This window comes from Homo sapiens, chromosome 19 (assembly GCF_000001405.40).
Source record: "Homo sapiens chromosome 19, GRCh38.p14 Primary Assembly".
NCBI lineage: Eukaryota > Metazoa > Chordata > Mammalia > Primates > Hominidae > Homo > Homo sapiens.
The window spans coordinates 38956794-38982890 of NC_000019.10; the positions used below are offsets into that span (position 1 = coordinate 38956794).

Below are 26097 nucleotides of genomic sequence, written 5' to 3' on the forward strand. Positions count from 1 at the left end.
CGCTTGAACCTGGGAGGTGGAGGTTGCAGTGAGCCAAGATCATGCCACTGCACACAGCGAGACTCTGCCTCAAAATAAATAAATAAATAAAATAGTTGCTGTCACTTTTTAAAAATGATGTGTCATAATAATGGCAACTAACATAATTTAGTGTTTCACATTAATTTTTAAAATATTAATATTAATTTTCACAGGTGTGAGCCACCATGCCCAGCCTCTGACATCATCTTTATTCCTACCGCAGAAAGAATGAAGCTGTGGAGACAGACTTTACAAAGACCAAGCTGTGCTTTTCTCCAGGTGGTTCTGAGTTGCATTAATAGTTCACTGAGGCCCGGCGCTTGAACCCGCGAGGTGGAGGTTGCAGCGAGCAGAGATCACATCACTCACTGCACTTCAGCCTGGGTGACAGAGCGACTCTGTCTCAAAAATAAATAAATAAATTCCCTAGGTTTATAAACAAGTCTACCAGTCTGCCTGGCATGGGTGTGATGTGCACCAGAGTTTAGTTTCCTGGAGTTCTTCTTAGGAGGAGTTCTTAGTTCCCACTCTTCTTCTTTTTTGTTTTTTTGAGACGGAGTCTCACTCTGTCGCCCAGGCTGGAGTGCAGTTGCATGATCTCGGCTCACTGCAACCTCCGCCTCCCGGGTTCAAGCGATTCTCTGCCTCAGCCTCCCGGGTAGCTGGGATTACAGGCACCTGCCACCACGCCTGGCTAACTTTTGTATTTTTAGTAGAGACAGGGTTTCACCATGTTGGCCAGGCTGGTCTTGAATGCCTGACCTTGTGATCCGCCCGCCTAGGCCTCCCAAAGTGCTGGGATTACAGACTTGAGCCACTGCGCCCGGCAGTTCCTGTTCTTCTTAGGAGTGTGTTCCCACTGGCAAAAGGAGGATCTCTGGGGCTAGGGGTAGGCCCCTCGCCCAACAAGGGCAGCCAGACTTCACCAAGGAGCAGAGATGTTCAAGAAATGTACTGAATGAGCCCTCAGCTATCCACACAAACCATATTAAATGCTTGTATGGGGCCCCAGTGTGGTGGCTTACGCCTGTAATTCCAGCACTTTGGGAGGTGGAGGCGGGAGGATTGCTTGAGCCCAGGAGTCCAAGACCAGCCTAGGCAACATGACGAAACCCTCTCTCTACAAAAGAAATACAAAAAAATTAGTCAGGCATAGTGTCATGCACCTGTAGTCCCAGCTACTTGGGAGCTGAGGGGAGAAGGATCACCTGAGCCAGGGAGGTTGAGGCTGTGGTGAATCGTGAAGGGGCCACTGTATTCCAGCCCAGGCAATAGAGTGAGATCCTGCCTCAAAAAAAAAAAAAAAAAAGTTTGTGGCCAGTCACAGTGGCTCATGCCTGTAATCTCAGCACTTTGGGAGACCAAGGTGGGTGGATCACCTGAGGTTAGGGGTTTGAGAGCAGCCTAGCCAACATGGTGAAACCCGTCTCTACTAAAAATACAAAATTAGCCAGGTGTGGTGGCATGCTCCTGTAGTCCCAGCTACTTGGGAGACTAGTGGGAGAATCCCTTGAACCCAGGAGGTGGAGATTGTGGTAAGCTGAGATTGTGCCACTGCACTCTAGCCTGGGCAACAAGAGTGAAACTGTCTCAAAAAAAAAAAAAAAAAAAAAAGGAAAGAGGAAAGAAACACGAAAAGTGGCTCAACAGTCAAAGACAGGCTTATTTTGGAGAATAAGCCTGAGAGGGGCTTCTGGCCAATTTTGGGAAAGGTTGAAAAGTACCCACTGCAAGATTGAATGCCAACTACTAGCTGGGTCACAATAGGACAAGTAGGGCCTAGTATTGCCTGCTTCCAGGGTTTTTGGGAGAGTGTGTGTTTGGAGGAAGGTTACTGGCTGTCAGAGTGACCGGGGAATGCTATTGGTACTCAGCTACCCAAAGGGACCCAGGATGCTACTACAGCAGACTGTATTTTTCAAAAGTGGCTATGAGAACATTTCCTATCTGACACGCTTTTTCAGTTCACCACTGCTCGTGAAGCTGTGGGGTCCACATTCCTCCCCTGGGCACGTGCAGGCTTTTGCAACTGCCTCAACTTTCAGAGCACTGCAGAAGGGACATTGCTAAGGGATTTCATTCTCTCTCTCTTTCTCTCTCTTTTTAAGAGACAAAGTCTCACTCTGTCGCCTGGTTGGAGTGTAGTGGCGTGATTATGGCTCACTGAAGCCTCGAACTCCTGGGCTCAAGCGATCCTCCCAACTCAGCCTCCTGAGTAGATGGGACTGCAGACACATGCCACCATGCCCAGCTTCGTTTGTTTTATATTTTTTTTTTCTAGAAGTGAGGGGTCTCCCTATGTTGCCCAGGCTGGTCTCTTCCTGGGCTCAAGTGATCCTGTCGCCTTGGCCTCCCAAAGTGCTGGGATTATAGGTAGGAGCCACTGTGCCCGGCCTGCTAAGGGATTTCTGAGGCTGGATCATAAAAGAGTATGCAGCCTCTGCCTGTCTTTCTTTCTTTCTTTCTTTCTTTTTTTTTTTTTGAGACAGAGTCTTCCTCTGTTGCCCAGGCTGGAGTGCAATGGCCCAATCTCGGCCCACTGCAATCTCCACCTCCTGGATTCAAGCAATTGTCCTGCCTCAGCCTCCAGAGTAGCTGGGATTACAGGCACACGCCACCATGCCTAGCTAATTTTTGTATTTTTTTTTTTTTAGTAGAGACGGGATTTCACCATGTTGGCCAGGCTGGTCTCGAACTCTTGACCTTGTGATCAGCCCACCTTGGCCTCCCAAAGTGCTGGGATTCATTAGGCTGTGCAATTTGTGCACTTTCTATAAAAGGTTTGCTAAAAATGAGCTGGGTACCATGGCTTATGCATGTCATCCCAGCACTTTGGGAGGCTGAGGTGGGAGGATCGCTTGAACCCGGGGGTTCGAGACCAGCCTGGGCAACACAGTGAAACCCCATCTCTAAAAAAGTAAACATTAAAAAATTAGCTGGACCTGGTGGTGTACACTTGTAGTACCACATACTCGGGAGGCTGAGGTGAGAGGATTGCTTGTGGCCAGGAGTTCAAGGGTACAGTGAGCTATGATTGCACTACTGCATTCCAGCCTGGGTGACAGAGTGAGACTCTGTCTCCAAAAACAAACAAATAAAAAACACCACCACCACTACCAAAACAGAACACATACCCAAAACCCTCAACGTTTGCTAAAAATGATGAAAACAAGAAAAACAGATATGGCAGTCCATGGAAAGGAACAAAAAGATGTCCAAAAACTTTCCTCAAAGCCATCAAACAAAAGATGTTACTATTTTAAAATAGAAGAATCTGTGAAAATGATTAAGAGTTAGCTTATAAGTATCTCCTCAGCAGATTCTCAAATTGTATAGTTTTTTTGAGGCCAGAGACCTTTTTATACTGACTGGAAAATTCTGCACAAAAAATACCTCTGTGAATCATGATACCAGTTTGTTTTTGGTCTGTCCAGAGTATAATTTTGCCAGAGTATATTTATAATAAGCCATTATTCCTTTTTTTTTTTTATGGCTCTGGGGACTGGGATCAGCTATGCGGTCCTCACTTAGGGAACTTGTGCCTTTGCCGTCAGATGGTGGATGGGGCTGGGTCATCTGAGGCTTCTTCCATCCTAGTCTAGCAGCTGAAGTGAGGAGACCCGAACAGCTGGCGCTCCTTAGACATTTCTCTCTATTTTCACCTGGTCTGTCCAGCTACTTTCGGAAACAAACCAAATAATATCTTTTTTTTGAGACAGAGTCTCGCTCTGTCCCCCAGGCTAGAGTGCAGTGGCACGATCTCGGCTCACTGTAACCTCCGCCTCCCAGATTCAAGGGATTCTCCTGCCTCAGCCTCTCGAGTAGCTGGGATTACAGGTGCGTGCCACCCACACCGGCTAATTTTTGTATTTTTAGTGAAGACAGGGTTTCACATGTTGGCCAGGCTGGTCTTGAACTCCTGACCTCAGGTGAACCACCTGCCTCGGCCTCCCAAAGTGCTGGGACTACAGGCATGAGCCCCTGCACCCGGCCACTTTTTTTTTTTTTTTGATATGGAGTCTTGCTCTGTCGCCCAGGCTGGAGTGCAACGGCATGATCTCCGCTCACTGCAACCTCCGCCTCCCAAGTTCAAGCAATTCTCCTGCCTCAGCCTTCTGAGTAACTGGGATCACAGGTGCGCACCACCACGCCAGGCTGATTTTTTGTATTTTTAGTAGAGACGGGGTTTCACTGTGTTGGCCAGTCTGGTCTCGAACTCCTGACCTCAAGTGATCCTCCCGCCTTGGCCTCCTAAAGTGTTGGGATTACAGGCGTGAGCCACTGCGCATGGCCCAGATAATATACTTTCATCTTCAAGGTTCATTGTATTGAACGGGTTTTACTAACACAGCAGCAGCCTCAATTAACTGTGTTCATTTTATAAAGTATTATTTTTACTTTATTAGTTAAGTTTTATTAATTGTATCTGTTTAAAATGTAGCAATTTTATTTCAATTGATTTTAAATCTTTTTTTTTTTGAGATGGCGTCTTACTCTGTCACCCAGGCTGGAGTGCAGTAGCATGATCTCAGCTCACTGCAATCTCTTCCTCCCAAGTTCAAGCAATCCTTCCGCCTCAGCTTCCCAAGTAGCTGAGATTACAAGCGTGCGCCACCACACCCAGCTAATTTTTATATTTTCAGTAGTGATGGGATTTCACATGTTAGCTAGGCTGGTCTCAAACTCCTGACCTCAGGTGATCCACCCAACTCGGCCTCCCAAAGTGCTGCGATTACAGGTGTGAGCCACCGCTCCCAGCCGATATGGAACATTTCTATTGCCCCAAAAGGTTTATCCCTTCCCAGCCAACCTCCCTACTCCCACCCAAAGTCAACTACTATTCTGTTTTGTTTTGTTTTGTTTTTGAGACGTAGTATTGCTCTGTCCTCCAGGCTGGAGTGCAGGGGCGCGATTTCGGCTCACTGCAACCTCCGCCTTCCGGGTTCAAGAGATTTTTTCTACTTCAGCCTCCGGAGTAGCTGGGATTACAGGTGCGCACCACCACACCCGGCTAATTTCTGTATTTTTAGTAGAGACAGGGTTTCACCATGTTGGCCAGGCTGGTCTTGAACTCCTGAGCTCAAGTGATCCGCCTGCGTCGGCCTCCCAAAGTGCTGGGATTACAGGCGTGAGCCACCGTGCCCGGCTTCTTTCTGTTACTATAAATTCAATTTTTCTTTTCTATAATTTCACGTAAATGGAATCATATAGAGTGTCGGCTATCAACCTACGACCTCATTGTTCTAAGCTGCGAAACTGGAGTTTGGTTCTAGCCCACCCAGGGACGCTGTTAAAAAAAAAAAAAAAAAAAAAAGCTCCGGGAACGGTGGCTTACGCCTGCCTCCTGCCTGGACAAGAAGAGCGAAACTTCGTCTCAAAAAAAAAAAATAAAAAAAAATAAATAATAATTGGAGTTTGGCCCTTTAAATCTTCTTCCTTTGCTGACTGACATGATGCTAAGTTTTTTTCAGTAGAGGGCGCTGGAGAGACGTTGTAGGAGGAAAGGGTTTGGCTTCCAGTTTCCAGACTTGGCTCCTGCAGGGCAGCTACTCCTGCAGCGAGCATGCTTCTCCAGCCTCTGACTCCTACATGCGTGCGGTTTCTTTAGTGTCAGGAAGTTTCTCTGGCACATGGCTCCTGAAATATGGCAGTCAGCAGCACCCACCTCAGCTGAGACACTTCCCTGTCAGCTGCTCTCCCCACCATCTTACTGAATGGACTTCTGCCGCATTCTACTGGTGCCGCACCATAGGGATGCCTTTGTCCTTCGGTGAGCCATGGCCAAGACTACTCCAGCAAGGTCGGGGTCTCAGCCTGGGGCTCTCATCTTTCTCGGGCTATCTTAGACTTAGGAGGAGTGGCTGCTCCTTGTATCTGCTATTTCTTTCTTTCTTTTTTCTTTTTCTTTCCTTTTTTTTTTGAGATGGAGTCTCTCTCTGTCACCCAGGCTGGAGTGCAGTGGCAAGATCTCGGCTCACCGCAACCTCTGCCTCCTGGGTTCAAACTATTCTCCTGCCTCAGCCTCCTTGAGTAGCTGGGACTACAGGCACACGCCACCACGCCCAGCTACTTTTTGTAGTAGGGACGGGGTTTCACCATGTTGGCCAGGATGGTCTCGATCTCTTGACCTCGTGATCCACCTGCCTTGCCTCCCAAAGTGCTGGGATTACAGGTGTGAGCCATTGTGCCCAGTCTATTTCTACATTCGTTAGCATTCTCTTTATTTCTTAGTAACCAGTTCCTCTTACTCAAATCCCCTATCATAGTTAACAATTCTGTATATTAAACAATCGCTGTTTAAATTACTGTGTGGTTTGTCTCCTGGTTGGATCCTGACTGATACACACAGTATGTGTCTCCTTGTGAAGAAGTCATCTGGGCCAGGCACAGTGGCTCATGCCTGTAATATTCCTTGAGTTGTAGGCATGGCTTAGGGTTATTTGTCCTCTCCTTCAGCATAATGTCCGTGTGATTCACTCATACTTTTTTTTTTTTTTTGAGGCAGGGTCTCACTCTGTTGCCCAGGCTGGAGGGCAGTGGCGCCATCATAGCTCACTGCTGCCATGACCTCCCAGGCTCAAGCAATCCTCCCATCTCAGCCTCCCAAGTAGCTGGGACCACAGGTGCACCCCACCATGCCTGGCTAATTTTTAAATTTTTTTTGAGACAGGGTCTTGCTATGTTGCCCAGGCTAGCCTTGAACTCCTGGGCTCAGCGATCTTCCCAGCTTGGCCTCCCAAATTGCTGGGATTACAGGCATGAGCCACCGCGCTTGGCCCATCCACTTGTTGTGTATCAATCAGTAGTCTATTCCTTTTTATTGCTGGGTAATAGTCCACTGAACACATAATCTACAACCTGTTTATCCACTCAGTATGATGGACATTTGGGTTGTTTCCAGCTTAGGGGTATTATGAATAAGGCTGCTATGAATATTCATGTACAAGTGTTTGTGTGGACATATGTTTTCTTTGCTTTTTTTTTTTGGAGACAGAGTCTTGTTCTATCACCAAGGCTGGAGTGCAGTGGTGCAATCTCGGCTCACTGCAACATCCACCTCCCGGGTTCAAGCAGTTCTCCTGCCTCAGCCTCCCAAGTAGCTGGGATTACAGGTGTGCGCCACCACACCTAGTTAATTTTTGTATTTTTAGTAGAGACAGGGTTTCACCATGTTGGCCAGGCTGGTCTCAAACACCTGACCTCAAGTGATCTGCCTGCCTCGGCTTCCCAAAGTGCTGGGATTGTAAGAGTGAGCCATCGTGTCCAGCCATTTTCATTGCTCTTGAGTAGATACTTAGGAGTAGAATTTTTGAGTCACATGGCAGGTGTATATTTAACGTTACAAGAAAATGCCCAGCAGTTTTCCAGCATGATTGTGCCATCTGCATTCCCAAAAATTCTATATGCATTGCAGTTGCCAGCACCTGGTATTGGTATTGTCAATCTTATAAAAAGTTTACACAGAATGGTTTCCTTTTCATACCTTCAGGATACTTTCCTCTACCCGATTCTCCCTTATTAATTTTTGTTTGTTTGTTTGAGACGGAGTCTCACCCTGTCACCCAGGCTGGAGTGCAGTGGCGTGATCTCGGCTCACTGCAACCTCTGCCTCCCAGGTTCAAGCGATTCTCCTGCCTCAGCCTCCCATCCCTTATTAATTTTTAACTATTTTAGCCAGGCATGGTGGCTTATGCCTGTAATCCCAACATTTTGGGAGAATGAGGCAGGGGGATTGCTTGAGGCCAGGAGTTCCAGACCAGCCTGGGCAACATAGCAAGACCTCCATCTCTACAAAATATAAAATTAACCAGACATGGTTGCAAGCGCCTGTAGTCCCAGCTACTCGGGAGGCTGAGGTGGGAGGAGTGCTTGAGCTCAGGAGGTGGAGGCTGCAGTGAACTATGATCACACCACTGTGCTCCAGCCTGGGTGACAGAGTGAGACCCCATTTCAAAGAAAAAAAGAAAAGAAAAAAAAATTGCATGCAGCCCCTGGGAAGTGTGGATGCTGCTGGTGTTACTGAGTAAAGCCCTCCCCATCTGGCATCCGGGAGTGAGCTCCCAGCACAAAGACTGTTTTTGTCCCTGCTAACATGAACAAGTGCTGTCCACAGAACACAGAGTTCACAGTCATCCATCCAACTTGACCAAGAGGCCAGTGGGAAAGGACTGTATTTATAACAGCCCCAAATGTCATACCAGTGACTTAAAAACAAGCAAACAAAAAACCACAGTCACCCAGCCTCTTGTTTGAAAAAGTGGCGGGATAGCAAGGACCATCAGATGTTTAAGAAAACTAGCAGCCTGAAAGAGAAACATTTAAGTAAACAAGCAGAAGGAAAGTGAACTGACCCCAGAGGAAACAGACAATTCACAGGACCAAAAGAACATGGAGGAAAAGAAAAAACCCTAACTGGTACACTCAGGACTGGCTTCATGGGCATGCAACCTGTGCGTTCACATGTGGCCCACCCTCTTTTCAATGCTCCACTGTGGCCATCTCAACATTCTTTTTCTTTTCTTTTTTTTTTTTGAGATGGAGTCTCTCTCTGTCGCCCAGGCTGGAGTGCATGACACAATCTCAGCTCACTGCAACCTCCGCCTCCTGGGTTCAAGTGATTCTCGTGCCTCAGCCTCCTGAGTAACTGGGACTACAGGCGCCCACCACCACATCTGGCTAATTTTAGTATTTTTATTTTTATTTATTTTTGAGATGGAGTTTTGCTCTTGTTGCCCAGGCTGGAGTGCAACAGAATGATCTCAGCTCACTGCAATCTCCACCTCCTGGGTTCAAGCGGTTCTCCAGCCTCAGCCTCCTGAGTAGCTGGGATTACAGGCACGAACCACCAAGCCAGGCTAATTTTTGTATTTTTAGTAGAGACGAGGTTTCGCCATGTTGGCCAGGCTGGTCTTGAACTCCTGACCTCAGGTGATCCACCCACCTCAGCCTCCCAAAGTGCTGGGATTACAGGCATGAGCCACCATTCCCAGCTAATTTTTATATTTTTAGTAGAGACGGGGTTTCACCATGTTGGGCAGGCTGGTCTTGAACTCCTGACCCCAGGCAATCTGCCCACCTCAGCCTCTCAAAATGCTGGAATTACAGGCATGAGCCGTTGCTCCCAGCCTCAACATTCTTTTTATTTATTTATTTTTATTTATTTATTTATTTTTTGAGATGGAGTCTTACTCTGTCACCCAGGCAGGAGTGCAGTGGCGTGATCTTGGCTCACTGCAACCTCCACTTCTGGGTTCAAGCGATTCTCCTGTCTCAGCCTTCCGAGTAGCTGGGACTACAGGTGCGCACTACCACGCCCGGCTAATTTTTGTATTTTTAGTTGAGACAGGGTTTCACCATGTTAGTCAGGCTGGTCTCGAACTCCTGACCTCAGGTGATCCACCCACCTCGGCTTCCCAAAGTGCTGGGATTACAGGCATGAGCCACCATGCCCGGCCAACATTCTCTTAAATTAAAAATTTTGTGTGTGTGTGTGTGTGTGTGTGTGTGGAGATGGGGTCTCACTATGTTGCCCAGGTTGGTCTCAAACTCCTGGCCTCAAATGATTCTCCCGTCTCAGCCTCCCAAAGTGCTAGGATTACAGGCCTCAGCCACCGAGCCTGGCCTCAACATTCTTAATTATTTCTGAACAAGGGACCTTGCATTTTCATTTTGCAATGGGCCATGCAAATTATGTAGCTAGTCCTGGGAACACTTAGATTTGCAAAGATGTTCTAAACAGAGTAAGAACAGGATACTATAAAAGGAAGAATGTCTACAAGAAGAAAAAGAAATCCAAAGAAATGGATTGGATGAGTTACTAACAGAAAAACGCCTCTTTCAAAATGGAAAAATTAAAGCTATGAGAAATTCTAGGAAAAACATAAAACTGTATCTGTGTTACAGCTATTTGATAAAGTTCACAAAAAAGGAATCCTTTTGACCTGGAGGCTAGGGGCATTCTCTTTACATTGGCTTTACTTACGGGTTTTCTTGGGAAAAAGACTCTTTTCAACAAATGGTGCTGGGACAACTGGAAATCTATATGCAAAAAGATGAATTTAGACTATTACCTCATACCAGAATCAACATGAAATTAATCATACATCTAAATTTAAGAGTTAAAACTATAAAACTTTGAGAAGAAAACAGGAGAAAATCTCATGATCTTGTGTTAAGCAGAGATTTTTTAGATCCAACACCAAAAACTATGATTCATAAAAGAAAAACTGGATAAATTAGACATTATCATAAGTTAAAACTTTTGTACTTGCACATTATATATCTGATAAAGCACTTGTGTATAGAATATATAAATAACTCATAAAACTCAATGAGATAAACCAGTTAAAAAATGGACAAAAGGCCGGGCACAGTGGCTCACGCCTGTAATCCCAGCACTTTGGGAGGCTGAGGCAGGTGGATCACCTGAGGTCAGGAGTTCAAGACCAGCCTGGCCAACATGGTGAAACCCTGTCTCTACTAAAAATACAAAAAATTAGCCTGTAATCCTAGCTACACAAGAGGCTGAGGCCGGAGAATCGCTTGAACCTGGGAGGCAGAGGTTGCAGTGAGCTGAGATCACGCCATCGCACTCCAGCCTGGGCAACAAGAGTGAAACTCCATCTCAAAAAAATAAAAATAAAAAAGAAAGAAAGACAAAAGATTTGAGTAGACATTTCACCAAAGAACATATACAAATGAGTAATGAGCACATGAAATGATGCTCCACTTCATTAGTCATTAGGAAAATGCAATTTTTTTTTTTTTTTGAGATATGGTCTTCTCTGTTGCTCAGGCTGGAGTGCAGTGGCACGATCTTGGCTCACTGCAGCCTCAACCTCCTGGGCTCAAGTGAGTCTCCCATTTCAGCCTCCCAAGTAGCTGGGACTACAGATGCACCCACCACCACATTCAGCTAATTGTTGAATTTTCTATAGAGATGGGTCTTCCTATATTGCCCAGGCTGGTCTTGAACTCCTGGGATCAAGGGATCCTCCTTCCTTGACCTCTCAAAGTGCTGGGATTATGGGCATGAGCCACCATGCCCAGCTGGGAAATGCCAATTAAATTCACAATGAGACACCACTTCATACCCACTACCCTGGCTATTACTCAAACTGACGATACTGACAGGTGTAGTCGAGGATATAAAGAAACTGGAACCCTCAGGCATCGCTGGTGGGGATGTAAGATGTACAGCTAACCTGGAAAACCATTAGGCAGTTTCTTTAAAAGTTGAGGCCAGGCTCGGTGGCTCATACCTGTAATCCCAGCACTTTGGGAGTCCTGAGGTCAAGAGTTCGAGACCAGCCTGGCCAACATGGTGAAACCCTGTCTCTACTAAAAACACAAAAACTAGCCGGGTATGGTGGTAGGCGCCTGTAATCCCAGATACTCGGGAGGCTAAGGCAGGAGAATCACTTGAACCTGGGAGGTGGAGGTTGCAGTGAGCCAAGACTGTACCACTGCACTCTAGCCTGGGCAACAGAGCAAGACTCTGTCTCCAAAAAAAAAAGTTGAACATGGCTGGGTGCAGTGGCTCATGCCTGTAATGTCAGCACTTTGGGAGGCCGAGGTAGGAGGATCCCCTGAGTCCAGGAGTTCCAGGCTGCAGTGAGCTATGAATGCGCCACCACCCTCCAGCTTGGGAGACAGAATAAGAGCCTGTCTCTAAAAAAAAAAAAAAATTAAAAAAAAAGTTAAACATAAACTTATATGAAACCTAGCAATTCTACGACTAGATTATCTACCCAAGAGAAATGAAAATACACCTTCTACCTCCATGCAAACTCTCATATGCTAATGTTCATAGCAGCTTTATACATTTGGAAACACTCCAAATGTCTATTAGCTGATGAATGGATATATAAAATGTGCCATGTCCACAAAATAGAATATTTTTAAGCAGTAAAAAGGAATAAACATGCTATAGTATGAATAAACTCCAAAGCAATATGCTACATGAAAGAGGCCAGATGCAAAAGGACACATATTATATGATGTGCTTCTATGAAATGACCAGAAAAGACAAATCTTTTTGATCAGAAAGTAGATTAGTAGTTGCCTTGGGCTAGGCTGGGAACAGAGTGACTACAAATAGGCACAAGGGATATTTTGGGGGTGATGAACATGCTTTGTTACGGTGGTGATGGTTGCACAACTCTGTAAAGTCACTAAAAGCCACAAAGTTGTCCACTTTAACAGGGCTGAATTTTTTGGTATGTAAATTACACCTCAAAAAAGCTGATTAAAAAAACACAGCAAACTTTGCAATTAAAGCATGTAGGGCTTAAATATGGAAACAGAACAGACTGTAGATGTTTCCACCTTGACAATGTAAAAGCAAATGTACAGCTGGGTGCGATGGCTCACACCTGTAATCCCAGCACTTTGGGAGGCTAAGGTGGGATGATCGCTTGAGCCCACGAGTTCAAGACGAGCCTGGGCAACATAGTGAGACCCCCGTCTCTACAAAAAAATTAGCAGGGCATGGTGGCGTGTGTGTGTAGTCCCAGTTATTAGAGAGGCTGAGGTGGGAGGATCGCTTGAGCCCAGAAGTTGAGGCTACAGTGAGCCAAGATCCCGCCACTGCACTCCAGCCTGGGTGACAGAGACTCCATCTCCAAAAAAAAAAAAAAAGAAAGAAAAGAAAAAAGAAAATGAGCAAACACAAAACAGTGCAATGTTACTGCAATTCACTAAAAATACTATCAAAGAGAACTCCCATACATTCCTGGTGGAATCCATTTGGAATCACTTTGGAAACCACTGGGCTTTTTTTTTTTTTTTTTTTTTTTTTTGAGACTGAATCTCACTCTATCGCCCAGGCTGGAGTGCAGTGGCATGATCTCGACTCACTGCAACCTCCACCTTCTGGGTTCAAGTGATTCTTGTGCCTCAGACTCCCAGGTAGCTGGGATTACAGCTACTCTGCCACCATGCTCTGCTAATTTTTGTATTTTTAGTAGAGACAGGGTTTCACCACGTTGGCCAGGCTGGTCTCAACCTCCTGAGCTCAAGTGATCCTCCTGCCTTGGCTTCCCGAAGTGCTGGGATTATAGGCATGAGCCATTGTGCCTGGCCCACTGGACATTTTTTACTGAAGTAAAAATGAAAATGTGCCTGCCCCATGACCCAGCAACTCCACCCCAGAGCCAGAAAACACATACAAGAATATTCATGGTGGTGGTGTTCCTAACAGCTTCAGATTGGAAAAGTCCCAGATGCCTGTCCACTGTAGCACATACAAATAAGTCATTAATAAGATAAGATGGACTACTATATAGCACAATAATACAAATATTGCAAATACAAATATTATAAATAATACAAATACAAAATAAGGAATAAGCCACAAGTACCCAGAACATGAATGATTATCAAAAGCAAAAAAAAAAAAAAATTTTTTTTTGAGACAGGGTCTCACTGTGTTGCCCAGGCTGGAGTGCATGGCCACGATCATAGCTCACTGCAGCCTCCAATTTCTGGACTAAATCGATCCTCCTGACTCAGCCTCTTCTGGACCTGGGACCACAGGCACACACCACCATGCCTGGCTAATTTTTGTGTTTTTAGTAGAGATGGGGTTTCACCATGTTGGCCAGGCTGGTCTAGAACTCCTGACCTCAAATGATCTGCCCACCTCAGCCTCCCAAAGTGCTGGGATTATAGGCGTGAGCCACCACGGCTGGCCCTTTCTCTCTTCGTGTGTGAGGATGTCCCCTCTGCAAGATGGGAAATATGCAGGTCCACATCTGTCATCCACAATCTACATGTTCAAAAGCTCAGAAAACCAACAGTTTTTCCCAGACCCATTTGGTGGCAGGAGCTGACTTGAGCTGTCATGAGGTTTTGTATAGTCTTTAGTTACTCCCCTGAGAATGAACGTGCATTTCACTGAAGGCCTATTAGTGTTTGATTACACAAATGCTCCTCAGCCCTACTAGGGGACTTATGTAACATACCAAATGGGCTCCGTATGACTTGCTTAATATTCAAAGTCTAGGCTGGGCATGGTGACTCACGCCTATAATCCCAGCACTTTGGGAGGTCAAGGCAGGCAGATCACTTGAGGTCAGGAGTTCGAGACCAGCCTGGTCAACATAGTGAAACCCATCTCTACTAAAATACAAAAATGAGCTGGGTGTGGTGGTGCATGCCTATAATCACAGCTACTTGGGAGGCTGAGGCAGGAGAATGGCTTGAACCTGGGAGGTGGAGGTGGCAGTCAGCCAAGATCACAACACTGCACTCCAGCCTGGGTGACAAAGGAGAGTCCATCTCAAAAAAAAAAAAAAAAAATTCAAAGTCTAGACTCCCAAATGCATCTGGCCCCAAGAGCTTTGGATCAGAGATGATGGACCTCTAATAACCCCTGCCCCTCACGGTTGTAGGGAAATTTCATGAGATCAGGGTCTGGCCCTCGACAAATGTTTGCTGCCACTGTGAGGAGTTACTATGATTAGCAGCAAACACCCAGCTATGGGATTGGAGGAGTCCACGTGGGCACCTCCATATGCTGCCATCAGAGACTAGAAGAATGTGGGATAAGGACAGACACGCTTAGGAAAAAACAAGGCGAAACACAGCAGGACAAAAACTGAACCTCTGGCACGATCATTCGTTGAATTTGCAAAAGGAAAAAGAAAATACCAAGTTCCAAATCTATCCCTAGAAAAATGGGTGGTGACTGGGTGCTGTGGCTCACGCTTGTAATCCCAGCACTTTGAGAGGCCAAGGCAGGAGGATGGCTTGAGCCCAAGAGTTTAAGACCAGCTTGGGTAACATAGTGAGACCCCTGTCTCTACAAACAAAATTTAACAATTAGCCAGGCATGGTGGTGTGCACTTGTGGTCCCAGCTACTCGGGAGGCTGAAGTGGGAGGATCACTTGAGCCCAGGAAGTTGAGGCTGCAGTGAGCCAAGACTGTGCCACTGCACTCCAGCCTGGGTGAGAGTGAAACCCTGTGCCAATTAAAAAAAAAAAAAGAAGAAAAGAAAAAGGGCCCAGCTGCAGCAGTTATGTTGACAGTGTTAGTCATAGGTGAACAGGCTATAATAGTTAAGGAGATGCCTTCACAGAATACTAACAGCTACTGTTAACTGAGCACTTACTTTGCTCTAGGCATGTGGGAATTGCTTTACAAAATCTCACAGAAGCCTCAAACCACCCCATGAAGTAGGCACATGGGGAAACTGAGGCTTGGAGGATGACAGCAACGTGCCCAAGGTCACCCAACAAAGAAGCAACAGAGCCATGTCAAAAGACAAAATTACAACAAATTTAGTTATAGATCTAATGGGCTTTTATTCAAGATTCTTGAATGGGGCAGCCTCCATTTTACAAAACAGACTGAGACCCCCACTGGGTAGTAAGAGAATGGTGGGTTTTATAAGCTGGGACCAAGGGAAAAGAATGATAGAAAAAAACAAACAAAAAAACTAGGCCGGGAGCAGTGGCTCACTCACACCTGTTATCCCCAGCACTCTGGGAGGCCAAGGCAGGTGGATCACCTGAGGTCAGGAGTTCGAGACCAGCCTGGCCAACATGATGAAACCCCATCTCTACTAAAAATATAAAAATTAGCTGGGTGTGGTGGCACGCACCTGTAATCCCAGCTACTCAGGAAGCTGAGGCAGGAGAATTGCTTGAACCCAGGAGGTCAAGGTTGCAGTGAGCTGTGATTGTGCCACTGCACTGCAGCCTGGGCGACAGAGTGAGACCCCATCTCAAAGAAAAAAAAAAAAAACCTGCTGGGATTTGAATCTTGGTATATTGGACTCCATAGTTTGTGCTACTGTATACATGTCTTCTGTCTCTTTCTTTGTTTCAAAATAATCTTACTTTATTTTCTCCCAATTTTTACTATGAAATTTCATTCTATAGACAAGTTGAAAGAGTAATCAAATGAACATCACTATCTGCTCCATATTTTGCCATATTTGCACTCTCTCTTTTCTTTTTGGACAGAGTTTTGCTCTTGTCGCCCAGGCTGGGGTGCAATGGCGCGATCTCGGCTCACTGCAAGCTCCACCTCCTGGGTTCAAGCTATTCTCCCGCCTCAGCCTCCTAAGTAGCTGGGATTACAGGTACCCGCCATCATGCCCTGCTAAATTTTTATTTTTGTCGAGACAGGGTTTCAACATGTTGGCCAGGCTGGTCTCGAACTCCTCAGCCTCCCAAAGTGCTGGCATTACAGGCATAAGTCACCGGCCTGGCGGCCTTGATGAACTACTCTTCAGTACTTCCTAATGAATCTCCTAAGATTAAGGGCAACCTGGCCAGGCGTGGTGGCTCACGCTTGTAATTCCAGCACTTTGGGAGGCCAACGCGGGTGGATCACGAGGTCAGGAGTTCGAGACCAGGCTGACCAACACGGTGAAACCCCATCTCTACTAAAAATACAAAAAAATTAGCCAGGCGTGGTGGCACATGCTTGTAATCCCAGCTACTAGGGAGGCTGAGGCAGGAGAATCGCTTGAACCCAGGAGGTGGAGGTTGCAGTGAGCCGAGATTGTGCCACTGCACTCCAGCCTGGGCGACAGAGAGAGATTCTGCCTCAAAAATTCATTCTGCCATCAATACCCACTCCGTGAACAATTTCCCCTGCTGTCTCTAGCAGGTCTTCTGTGGCTGTTTCCTCCTAACAAGATCCCCGTGGGGGCTCAAACACCAGTGGGGGTGGCAGGTCTCACTCATCTCTTTTAATCTAAAACACTTCGTTTTCCATTCTTCTAAAAGAGATTACATACTTTTATTATAGAAAAAATTAAGGCAAACTTTTCTATTTGATTTCTAAGCCATATGTAGAATTTGATTAGAATTGAAGAAATTAATATTTACATAAATACAAAAATGTTATTTTAAAAATATATCTTTTTGTTTGGGCGCCGGTGGCTCACACCTGTAATCCCAGGACTTTTGATGGCCAAGACGAGCAGATGGCTTGAGCCCAGGAGTTCGAGACCAGCCTGGGTAACACGGCAAAACCCCGTATCCACAAAAAATAAAAAAATTAGTGGGGTTTGGTGGGGGGGCGTGCACCTGTAGCCCTAGTTACTCAGGAGGCTGAGGTGGGAGGATCTCTTGAGCCCAGGAGGTTGAGGCTGCAGTGAGCCATGATTACGACACTGTACTCCAGCCTGGGCAACACAGTTTTGATTTGATTTGATTTGATTTGAGACAGGGTCTCAAATATATATGTGTATATATATATATACATATATATATATACACATATATATACACACATATATATATGTACATATATAGTTTTTTTTTTTTTGAGACAGAGTCTTGCTCTTGTCACCCAGGCTGGAGTGCAATGGCACAATCTTGGCTCACTGCAACCTCCACCTCCAGGGTTCAAGCGATTCTCCTTCCTCAGCCTCCTGAGTAGCTGGGATTACAGGCGCCTACCACCACGCCTGGCTAATTTTTGTACTTTTAGTAGAGACGGGGTTCATGTTGGCCAGGCTGGTCTTGAATTCCTGACCTCAGGTGATCCGCCCGCCTCGGCCTCCCAGAGTGCTGGGATTACAAGCGTGAGCCACCGCGCACGCCCGGCCTAAAAATATATTTTTTAAAAAGAAGCTCCTTAGCCAAGCCTTACAAAAAGAGAGTCAACAGATACTAGGTATATTTAATGGAACAATAAATACAAGTTAAAAAAATTATTTTATGTTAGAAAAGTAGCCAATAGAGAAGCCGAAAGTAATGTCCTGACTATACAGGGAGGTGATTATATAGGGAGGAGGAAAACCACGGAGATGATCAAAGTTGTCTCCTATTTTTAGCAAGGGATCCATGGACGCGTTGTCTAAAAGTTGATGAAATAAGAAATAACAATCCAAAAATATGCTGTAAAGATTTGGAAATAGATACCAGAGGAATAAAAAGTGGAAAAAGTTAAAAACGAGGCACCAGCGATCACGAGTTACTTCTTGCCATTTTTGAAAAGTAATGTAGTTAACAAAAAAATGTATTTGGCCGACAGGGGTTGGGGGCGGTGGTGAGGGAGAGGTTGTTGTTTAAAGGCGTGTTGTTTTCCATGCAAAGCTCTGTCCTGTCCTACGTGTCTGAGTGTCGTGTATTACTGGAACATTTTTAAAGAAGTATTATTTATTTTACAACTAGACTCCCATAATATTTGTCTTTCAAAATATGGAGTAAATAGACGCTGTCTAAAGTTGAAGAGGCAGTATACAGAGCTTTCGAACATATCACTGAACATTGCAAAAGTAACTTGGCAGAACAAAATTTAAATTGAGGGTTGGGGCCGCAGCGAAACACATAATGTGCCCAAGTTGCTAAATCGAGAAACCGCCCTCCAAGGCTTCTGATTCACAGATTCTGCGAAGGGACTGACGGCCAGAAGACAGAAAATCCAGCAACGGTAAAAAGCGGCCTGGCCTTCCCCGGGCTGTTGCGCCCACGTGTTGGTTTGCAGCGTTTGGCAGGGGTTTTGGATGGTGGCCTCCGCGGACGAGCGCAGGGATGGAGAGGCCTGGGCGTTCGAACACCCACGTTCAAAGCAAAGCCCTTCCAGATTTAGGGCTTTCTAACGTGCATTTGTATAACTTTGGGTTTAAAGGAGCCTCAGGCCGAGGGAGGGCCCGGGAAAGCGACGCTGCGGGTTATGGGACTCCCAGGGACCCGCCCCTCCGGGCAGGGCCTGGCGCGGGAATCCTTCCCGGGGCGCCCCAGCTGTGGGCGAGAACGGGACTGACGCTTGGGTCCCGACCTGGGTCCCCTACCTGTCCCGGCGCTCACCTGGCGGGCTGCTCGGAGGCGGCAGCGGCGGGCTAAGCTTCCCTTTCCCACTTTGTTCTGGGAGGCAGTCGAGGGGCTCCCCGTGATCGGCGTGGCCCAGGGGGCCCCGGGACCGGCGGTCTGGGCGGTCGGTCCTCTCCCGGGGCGTGGCGGCTGCAGCCCGGCGCCGGGGGCGGCGACTCTGAGATCCAGCGGGCGGGGGCGGGAGGCCGCCCCTCCTCCGGCTGCGGGGCCCAGCGGGAGCGAGGGCGGGCGGGCGGGGGAGCTTGGAGGGCTGCGTGCAGCGAGGGGGAGGCCCAGTTGCCGCGAGGCCAGCGGGGAGCGGGGCCAGCCCCGCGCCCCTAGGATCCGGGGCCCACCCCTGGGAGAGCCACCTCCTCTGGGTGTGCGAGTTCCACATCCCCAAGACGCCCCCGCGGGGGGACTGGTCCTAGCTCCCCACCCCCACCCAAATTCCGTTTCCTTCTGGTCCTGGCCTCCTGCTTGCGGCCGTCTCCACCCCTCACATCCATGGGATCCTGCACAGGTCCACGGTTGGTAAACCGCTTAGCTGTGAGCCCGACCCAGGGCCTGATTCGAAACACTTGGATCAAAGTCCCTGGCCACAGGGATTTTCTTGTATTTACGTTGCTTCCCAGGGCCAGATTCTCAGAAGCCCGGGGCTGATCTTAAATTAAATCCCTTCACCACACGCACTCTCTGTGGCAATGACAAACCTGTACCCTTCCACCTTAGGACTCCCCTGTCCTCCCCATCCCCCCAGCTATAGACAACTGAATTAATCCGGAGGTTCAGTTTCGGTCAGGCTGGGGCCGCGACCCATTTTCTCCCTTTACCTCTGCCCTTGGGTCTTTGCAGTCCCTTCTGATGGCCCTAGATTGCACCAGGGACCTCAAGGTGACTGATCTCAGACACCCCAGAGCTAGTTTTCTGGAAGCCAGGCCTCCCCCACGCTGGTAAATCATTCTCCAGGCCCACTGGCTCATATCTGCCACTGTGCTAAATGCTTTGTATGCATGACCTCCTCATGGACGCCTCTCCCGAGAAACTGAAGTCCAGAGATACCTGGTCTGTTGCACGTAGTCCAAGTCGCTAGCTTGGAGGGGTCACACAGCCAGAGAGCCTGGATTCCCTAAAGCCCCTTCCCCTAGAAACCTCAGCCAGGCCCCACAGCGCCATCGTGAGGACGGCGTGAGACTGCGTGTGCAGCGCGGAGCACAGTGCTGGACTCAGAGCCAACGCTAATTTGACTACTATTACATTATTTGTAACAACCGCCTTTGAAAGCATTTTCTGCTGTGGGTTGTAAAATTACTGTATTATTGGTAGAGTTTTTAGCACAGATCCACACGCAGTTCCTTATGTGAAAGGCGTAGGCCTAGGTTTGTTTTGCATTCCGGATTTTGGGGGGTTTATTTATTTTATTTTAGTTTTTTGAGACGGAGTCTCGCTCTGTTGCCCAGGCTGGAGTGCAGTGGCTAGATCTTGGCTCACTGCAAGCTCCACCTCCCGGGCTCAAGCAATTCTTGTGCCTCAGCCTCCCGAGTAGCTGGGATTACAGGAACGCGCCACCACGCCTGGCTAATTTTTGTATTTTTAGTAGAGAGGGGGTTTGGCCATGTTGGCCAGGCTGGTCTCGAACTCTTGACCTCAGGTGATCTGCCTGTCTTGGCCTCCCAAAGTACTGGGATTACAAGCGTGAGCTACCACGCCTGGCCGTAAGTAGCCATTTCTTCATGCTGCTCAATTCTCTGACATCCAGGGGCTTGCATATGTAGGGACAAGAATACTAACTAATCTTTGTTCTTTGATAAAACATTAAACAGTTGTTCCTCTAAGTCTTCCTCGAAACCAGATTTCCCTAATCATTTCAACATTCCTTCCAAAAGCCATCGCTTAAAGCCTTCCCAAATCTAATGTCAGATGTTTGCGATTGTTGTAAATACCTTAACAAATAGACAAAGCAATTGTGTGTTATTATAATGATTACAAAGCTAATGCATACTTGTGCTGACACGTGTCACCAGTGTGCTGATACCCATGGACTTGAGCTTGTTTCTTTATTGTTATTATTACAAAAAGTGGAATTGTTTATTTTTCATTTATTGATTTATTTTTGAGTCAGCGTCTGGCTCTGTTACCCAGGCTGGAGTGCAGTGGCATGATCACAGCTCACTGCAGCCTTGATCTCCTGGGCTCAAGTGATCCTCCCACCTCAGCCCCTCAAGTAGCTGGGACTACAGGGGCACGCCACCATGCCCGGCTAATCTTTGTATTTTTTGTAGAGATGAGGTTTCGCCATGCTGCCCAGGCTGGTCTCGAACTCATTAGCTCAACAATCCGCCTGCCTTGGCCTCCCAAAATGCTGGGATTACAGGCATAAGCCACTGCATCTGGCCTTGTTTCTTTATTATTGGTATTCTAGTTTTTAGACTCCTTTCCTGCAGGGAGTGTGATTTGACTCACCCAATATAAGGAGCCCTGGTAACCGCCTCAGACCTGCTGAGGTTTCGGCTTTAGGTCAGAGCCAGTTTCAGGAAGGCTGATGATTCAGGACCGGTGGAGAGGCCTGGGGAACCTCTAGCAGGGCAGCCCACTGAATGCGGTTGTCACTCAGAGCCTGTCCATGTGCTTGGATCTGAACAGGAAGAGAGGTTTTATTTATGGTCTTGGTCGTGCTTTCCCTCGGAGTCACATTTGTTCCTGGTGTCTCCTCACATGGTGCAGGCTGATGTGCCTACTTTGCAGCTCTTTCTGCTGAGCAAGGCCTGTTTCTACCCAATTAAATCTAAAGCCTTCTATCACAATAAAACCTCAACTGTCATTCCCATCAACCAAGAAGAACTGAACTAGGAGGCCCTGACATTTGCCAATCTGATGTGTTATCAAATGTTTACATTGGCCGGGCACGGTGGCTCATGTCTGTAATCCTAGTGCTTTGGGAGGCAGCAGGATCACTTGAGACCAGGAGTTCAAGACCAGCCTGTGCAACATAGTGAGACCCCCATCTCTACAAAAAATTTAAAAATTACCTGGCTATGATGGTGTGTGACTGTGGTTCTAGCTACTTGGGGGGCTGAGGCAGGAGGACCGCCTGAGCCTGGGAGGTTAAGGCTGCAGTGAGCTGTAATGGTGCCACTGTACTCCAGCCTGAGTGACAGAGCAAGACTCTATCTCAAGACAAATAAACAGGCCGGGCGCGGTGGCTCACGCCTGTAATCCCAACACTTTGGGAGGCCAAGGCAGGCGGATCACCTGAGGTCAGGAGTTTGAGACCAGCCTGGCCAACATGGCAAAACCCCGTCTCTACTAAAAATACAAAAATTAGCTGGGTGTGGTGGCATGTGTCTGCAGTCCCAGCTACTAGGAGGGCTGAGGCAGGAGGATTGCTTGAACCCAGGAGGCGGAGGTTGCACTGAGCTGAGATTGTGCCACTGCACTCTAGCCTGGGCAACACAGCAAGACTCTGTCTCAAAACAAACAAACAAACAAACGAAGTTTACATCTTTGCCTATCTAAGAAGTCAAAAGAAAACAAAAAAAGGTATTGCCCTGGTATCTTCCTTCGCATTTCTCCTAAGATGAGGACATTGGTCATCTTTTCATGTGTTTAAGAGCTATTTGCATTTCTTTCTACATAGTTTGTCATTAATCACCTTTGCCCATTTTTCTGCAATTACTGGTCAGGTGTTGTGTTTTAAAAATGGTGCAATGGGCCAGTGCAGTGGCTCACTCCTGTAATCCCAGCACTTTAGGAGGCCAAGTCGGGCGGATCAGAAGGTCAGGAGTTTGAGACTAGCCTGGCCAATATAGTGAAATCCTGTCTCTACTAAAAATACAAAAATTAGCCAGGTGTGGTGGAGGGCACCTGTGGTTCCAGCTACTTGGGAGGCTGAGGCAGGAGAATCACTTGAACCCAGGAGGCGGAGGTTGCAGTGAGCTGAGATCGTGCCACTGCACTCCAGCCTGGGTGACAGAACAAAAGTTTGTCTCAAAAATAAATAAATATAAAAAAATACAAATATAAATACAAAAATTAGCCTGGAGTGGTGGCAGATGCCTGTAATCCCAGCTACTTGGGATGTTGAGGTGTGAAGATCACTTGAACCCAGGAGGTAGAGGCTGCAGTCAGCTGAGATTGCTCCACTGCACTCCAGCCTAGGCGACAAAGTGAGACTCCGACTCAAAAAAAAAATGGTGCAATTATTGCAAACAGTGAAAAATGGACGGATGTCACATACAAATCTAACTTTCCAGCCTCTGGAGAGATGGCCTACGCTATAGGGCACGTGTTCTCACAGTCCCTTACCTTGTGCAGTGCATTGCCTGGGCCCATCATCCATAACGTTAATATCCTGGCTTGTGGTTATCTGTGGTGGTGATAGTGGCAGGAGGCAGTCAAATCCCTTGGCAGATAGGGGTGGTTCCCCAGTGAAACCTCATCTTCAAGCCAAAGACAGTTTTAAGCCTGAAGGCCAAGCTGCAAGTCTCAGATAAATCCACGGACCAGATTGAGAACTTGTCTTCCTGTTTGGTGCACTTTCCTCTGATTCCTCCCCACCCTTCATCTATTTTACATGTACCTACCCTTCCCTAATTTTTTTTTCTTTTCTTTCTTTTTTTGAGATGGAGTCTCGCTCTGTTGCCCAGGCTGGAGTCCAGTGGCATGATCTTGGTTCACTGCAACCTCCGCCTCCTGGGTTCAAGCAATTCTCCTGCCTCAGCCTCCCAAGTAGCTGGGATTACAGGTGCCCGCTACCACGCCTGGCTCATTTTTGAATTTTTAATAGAGACAGGGTTTTACCATGTTGGCCAGCCTGGTCTCAAACTCCTGACCTCAGGTGATCTGCCTGCCCTGGCCTCCCAAAGTGCTGGGATTACAGGTGTGAGCCACCACACCCAGCCCGTAATTGGTTTTTTACACTGTCATGCCCATCTTTGAATGGTGCCTTTGTTTTAGCCTCTTTTGCATACTCACAAACCAATCAGCATGCACTCCCCCATTCTAAGTCCATAAAAGCCCCAGACCCAGCCACACTGAGGGAGAGACCACCTGACTTCAGGTGGGGGACTACCCTCACATCCCCTCTCTGCTGAGAGCTTTTATGTCACTTAATAATAAAAATCTTCTCCACCCTTCTCACCCTTGGATTGTAAGTGTGATCTCATTCTTCTTGGACGTGGGACAAGAACTTGGGACCCTGCCGAATGTAGGTACAAAGAAGGCAGTAGCACCATAGCTCCCCACGATTGGTGCCTAGCGGCCACCCCATGCAACAGAAAGCAGTGGCAAGACCAGGCCAGCCCTGGAGCTACAGGCCAGAGTGGGGCAACATAACAGAACTACTAACATGCCTCCTTTCGTCAGGCTGTGGAGGGACTAACAGAGCTGTTAGCATGCTATAACACCACCTCTGGGACTTCAGGGTCATGGGCTTCCCTGTTTGGGTGCCGCCGTGTTCTCCTTGTCTGAACGCCAGAGTACACAGTGGGAGCCGCTTGCAACACACCTGGTCCAGCCACAAACCCTACATGGAGCCTGCCCCTGTGTCAGTGCTTGCAGGGGCCAGTGGGACCCCACACTTGCTAGTTCACACACCCCCTCCCACCCAGGGGCTGAGTGCAAAGTCACGGTGGCTGTGGGATCCATGCCAGAGTGCAATCCAGCTGTGCCCTGGTGGGCTGAGTGGGCAGGGTGCCTCCTGCAACAAACCTGGGAACAGTGCAAGGCCAGGGCAGTGGCATTGCTGGCCAGAGGTCTCTGGGCAGCAATGTGGCTGAGAAAAATCCTGCATCGGTGGCAACTCCTGGGATGATCCTCTCGAAGCACTCAGCCGGGAGCCTGGCCCTGCAGACTCCTACATTATGAGCCTTTAGAAGACAAAAGAAATGCCCAAAACAAAGCAGTCCAGCTTTGCCTTAGTGATGGCTGTCAAGGGACCCAGTTAATCAATTAGAGATACATCTGCACTGTGAAGATGTGCATAGTTGGAGGGCAGAAAGTTAAAAATTAAAAGCTTACCAGATAGAGAAAAATCTTTTTTTTTTTTTTTTTCAGGCAGAGTCTTTCTCTGTCGCCCAGGCTGTGTGCAGTGGTGCCATCTCGGCTCACTGCAACTTCCGCCTCCCGAGTTCAAGCAATTCTCCTGCCTCAGCCTTCTGAGTAGCTGGGATTACAGGCGCCCACCACCATGCCTGGCTAATTTTTGTATTATTAGTAGAGATGGAGTTTCACCATATTGGCCAGGCTGGTCTCAAACTCCTGACCATGTGATCCACCTGCCTCAGCCTCCCAAAGTGTTGGGATTACAGGTGTGAACCACCGTGCCCGGCCAGGAAGATCTTCTGAACAAAAAAGGAAACTTGCAAGGAATCCTCTTGGAAAATGTAGGGCACAAAAAATATCCATTTAGATATAAATAGAGACATAGAGACACAACCCCTGGTAGGGATAGAGACAGGTACACACACACACAGAACTGAAGGCACACACACACACACACACACACACACACACACACTTTTTTTTGTTTTGTTTTGAGACAAGGTCTTGCTCTGTTGCCCAGGCTAGAGTGCAGTGGCATGATCATGGCTCATGACAGCCTCGACCTCCTGGGTTCAAGTGATCCTCCCACCTCAACCTCCCAAGTAGCTGGGACTACAGGTGTGCACCACCACACCTGGCTTTTTTTTTTTTTTTTGGGGTAAAGATAGGGTATCACCATGTTCCCAGGGCTGGTCTCCTGGGCTCAAGCAATCCTTCCGCCTCAGCTTCCCAAAGTGCTGGGATTACAGGCGTGAGCCACAATACCTAGACAGGCACAGACTCATAGAGTAAGCTCCAAAAAAATTCTCAAGCCACATGCCACCTGGAGAGACTACTGTCTGCAAGGGTGTCACAGGAGGCCGTGTGGGGGTCTGGGTTGCCTCCCACCTAGATACTCCAGGATAATCTTCTTGTCTCAAAACCTATAACTTCGGCCAGGTGTGGTGGCTCACACCTGTAATTTCAGCAGTTTGGGAAGCTGGGGCAGGAGGATAACTTTAGCTTAGGAATTCGAGACCAGCCTGGGCAACGTAGGGAGACCTCGTCTCTAAAAAACAAAGATCCCCCCACCCACCTTAACGTCATTATATCTGCAAAGTTATTTTTGCCATATAAGGAAACATTCACAAATTCCAGAGGTTAGGACCTGGATAATTTTGGCAGAAGGGGGGATTATTCAGTCTACCATACACCATAGTTATTTATTTAAATTTTTTTTGAGACACAGTCTCACTCTGTTACCCAGGGTGGAGTGCAGTG

General features: G+C 47.4%; 1 protein-coding gene across 2 annotated transcripts in view, besides 3 other annotated features; it reads right to left on the reverse strand.

The window, feature by feature from the left end:
* The window catches only part of FBXO17 (F-box protein 17), a 34342-nt gene extending 15393 nt beyond the window's left edge, over nucleotides 1-18949 (reverse strand). For both annotated transcript variants that reach the window (NR_104026.2, NM_024907.7), the window contains exon 1: nucleotides 18793-18949. The gene's annotated coding sequence lies outside the window, so the exon portion shown is untranslated. The remainder of the gene's footprint in view (nucleotides 1-18792) is intronic.
* Nucleotides 13310-13520: a silencer, noted in NCBI's record as "fragment chr19:39460743-39460953 (GRCh37/hg19 assembly coordinates)". NCBI's record gives its function as "represses an EF-1alpha promoter that drives an FKBP-Casp9 reporter gene in an ReSE screen in K562 erythroleukemia cells {active_cell/tissue: K562}" and the evidence as "EXISTENCE:reporter gene assay evidence [ECO:0000049][PMID:32094911]".
* Nucleotides 20896-20945: an enhancer, noted in NCBI's record as "active region_14605". NCBI's record gives its function as "activates an Ori minimal core promoter by ATAC-STARR-seq in GM12878 lymphoblastoid cells {active_cell/tissue: GM12878}" and the evidence as "EXISTENCE:reporter gene assay evidence [ECO:0000049][PMID:35858748]".
* Nucleotides 21396-21495: an enhancer, noted in NCBI's record as "active region_14606". NCBI's record gives its function as "activates an Ori minimal core promoter by ATAC-STARR-seq in GM12878 lymphoblastoid cells {active_cell/tissue: GM12878}" and the evidence as "EXISTENCE:reporter gene assay evidence [ECO:0000049][PMID:35858748]".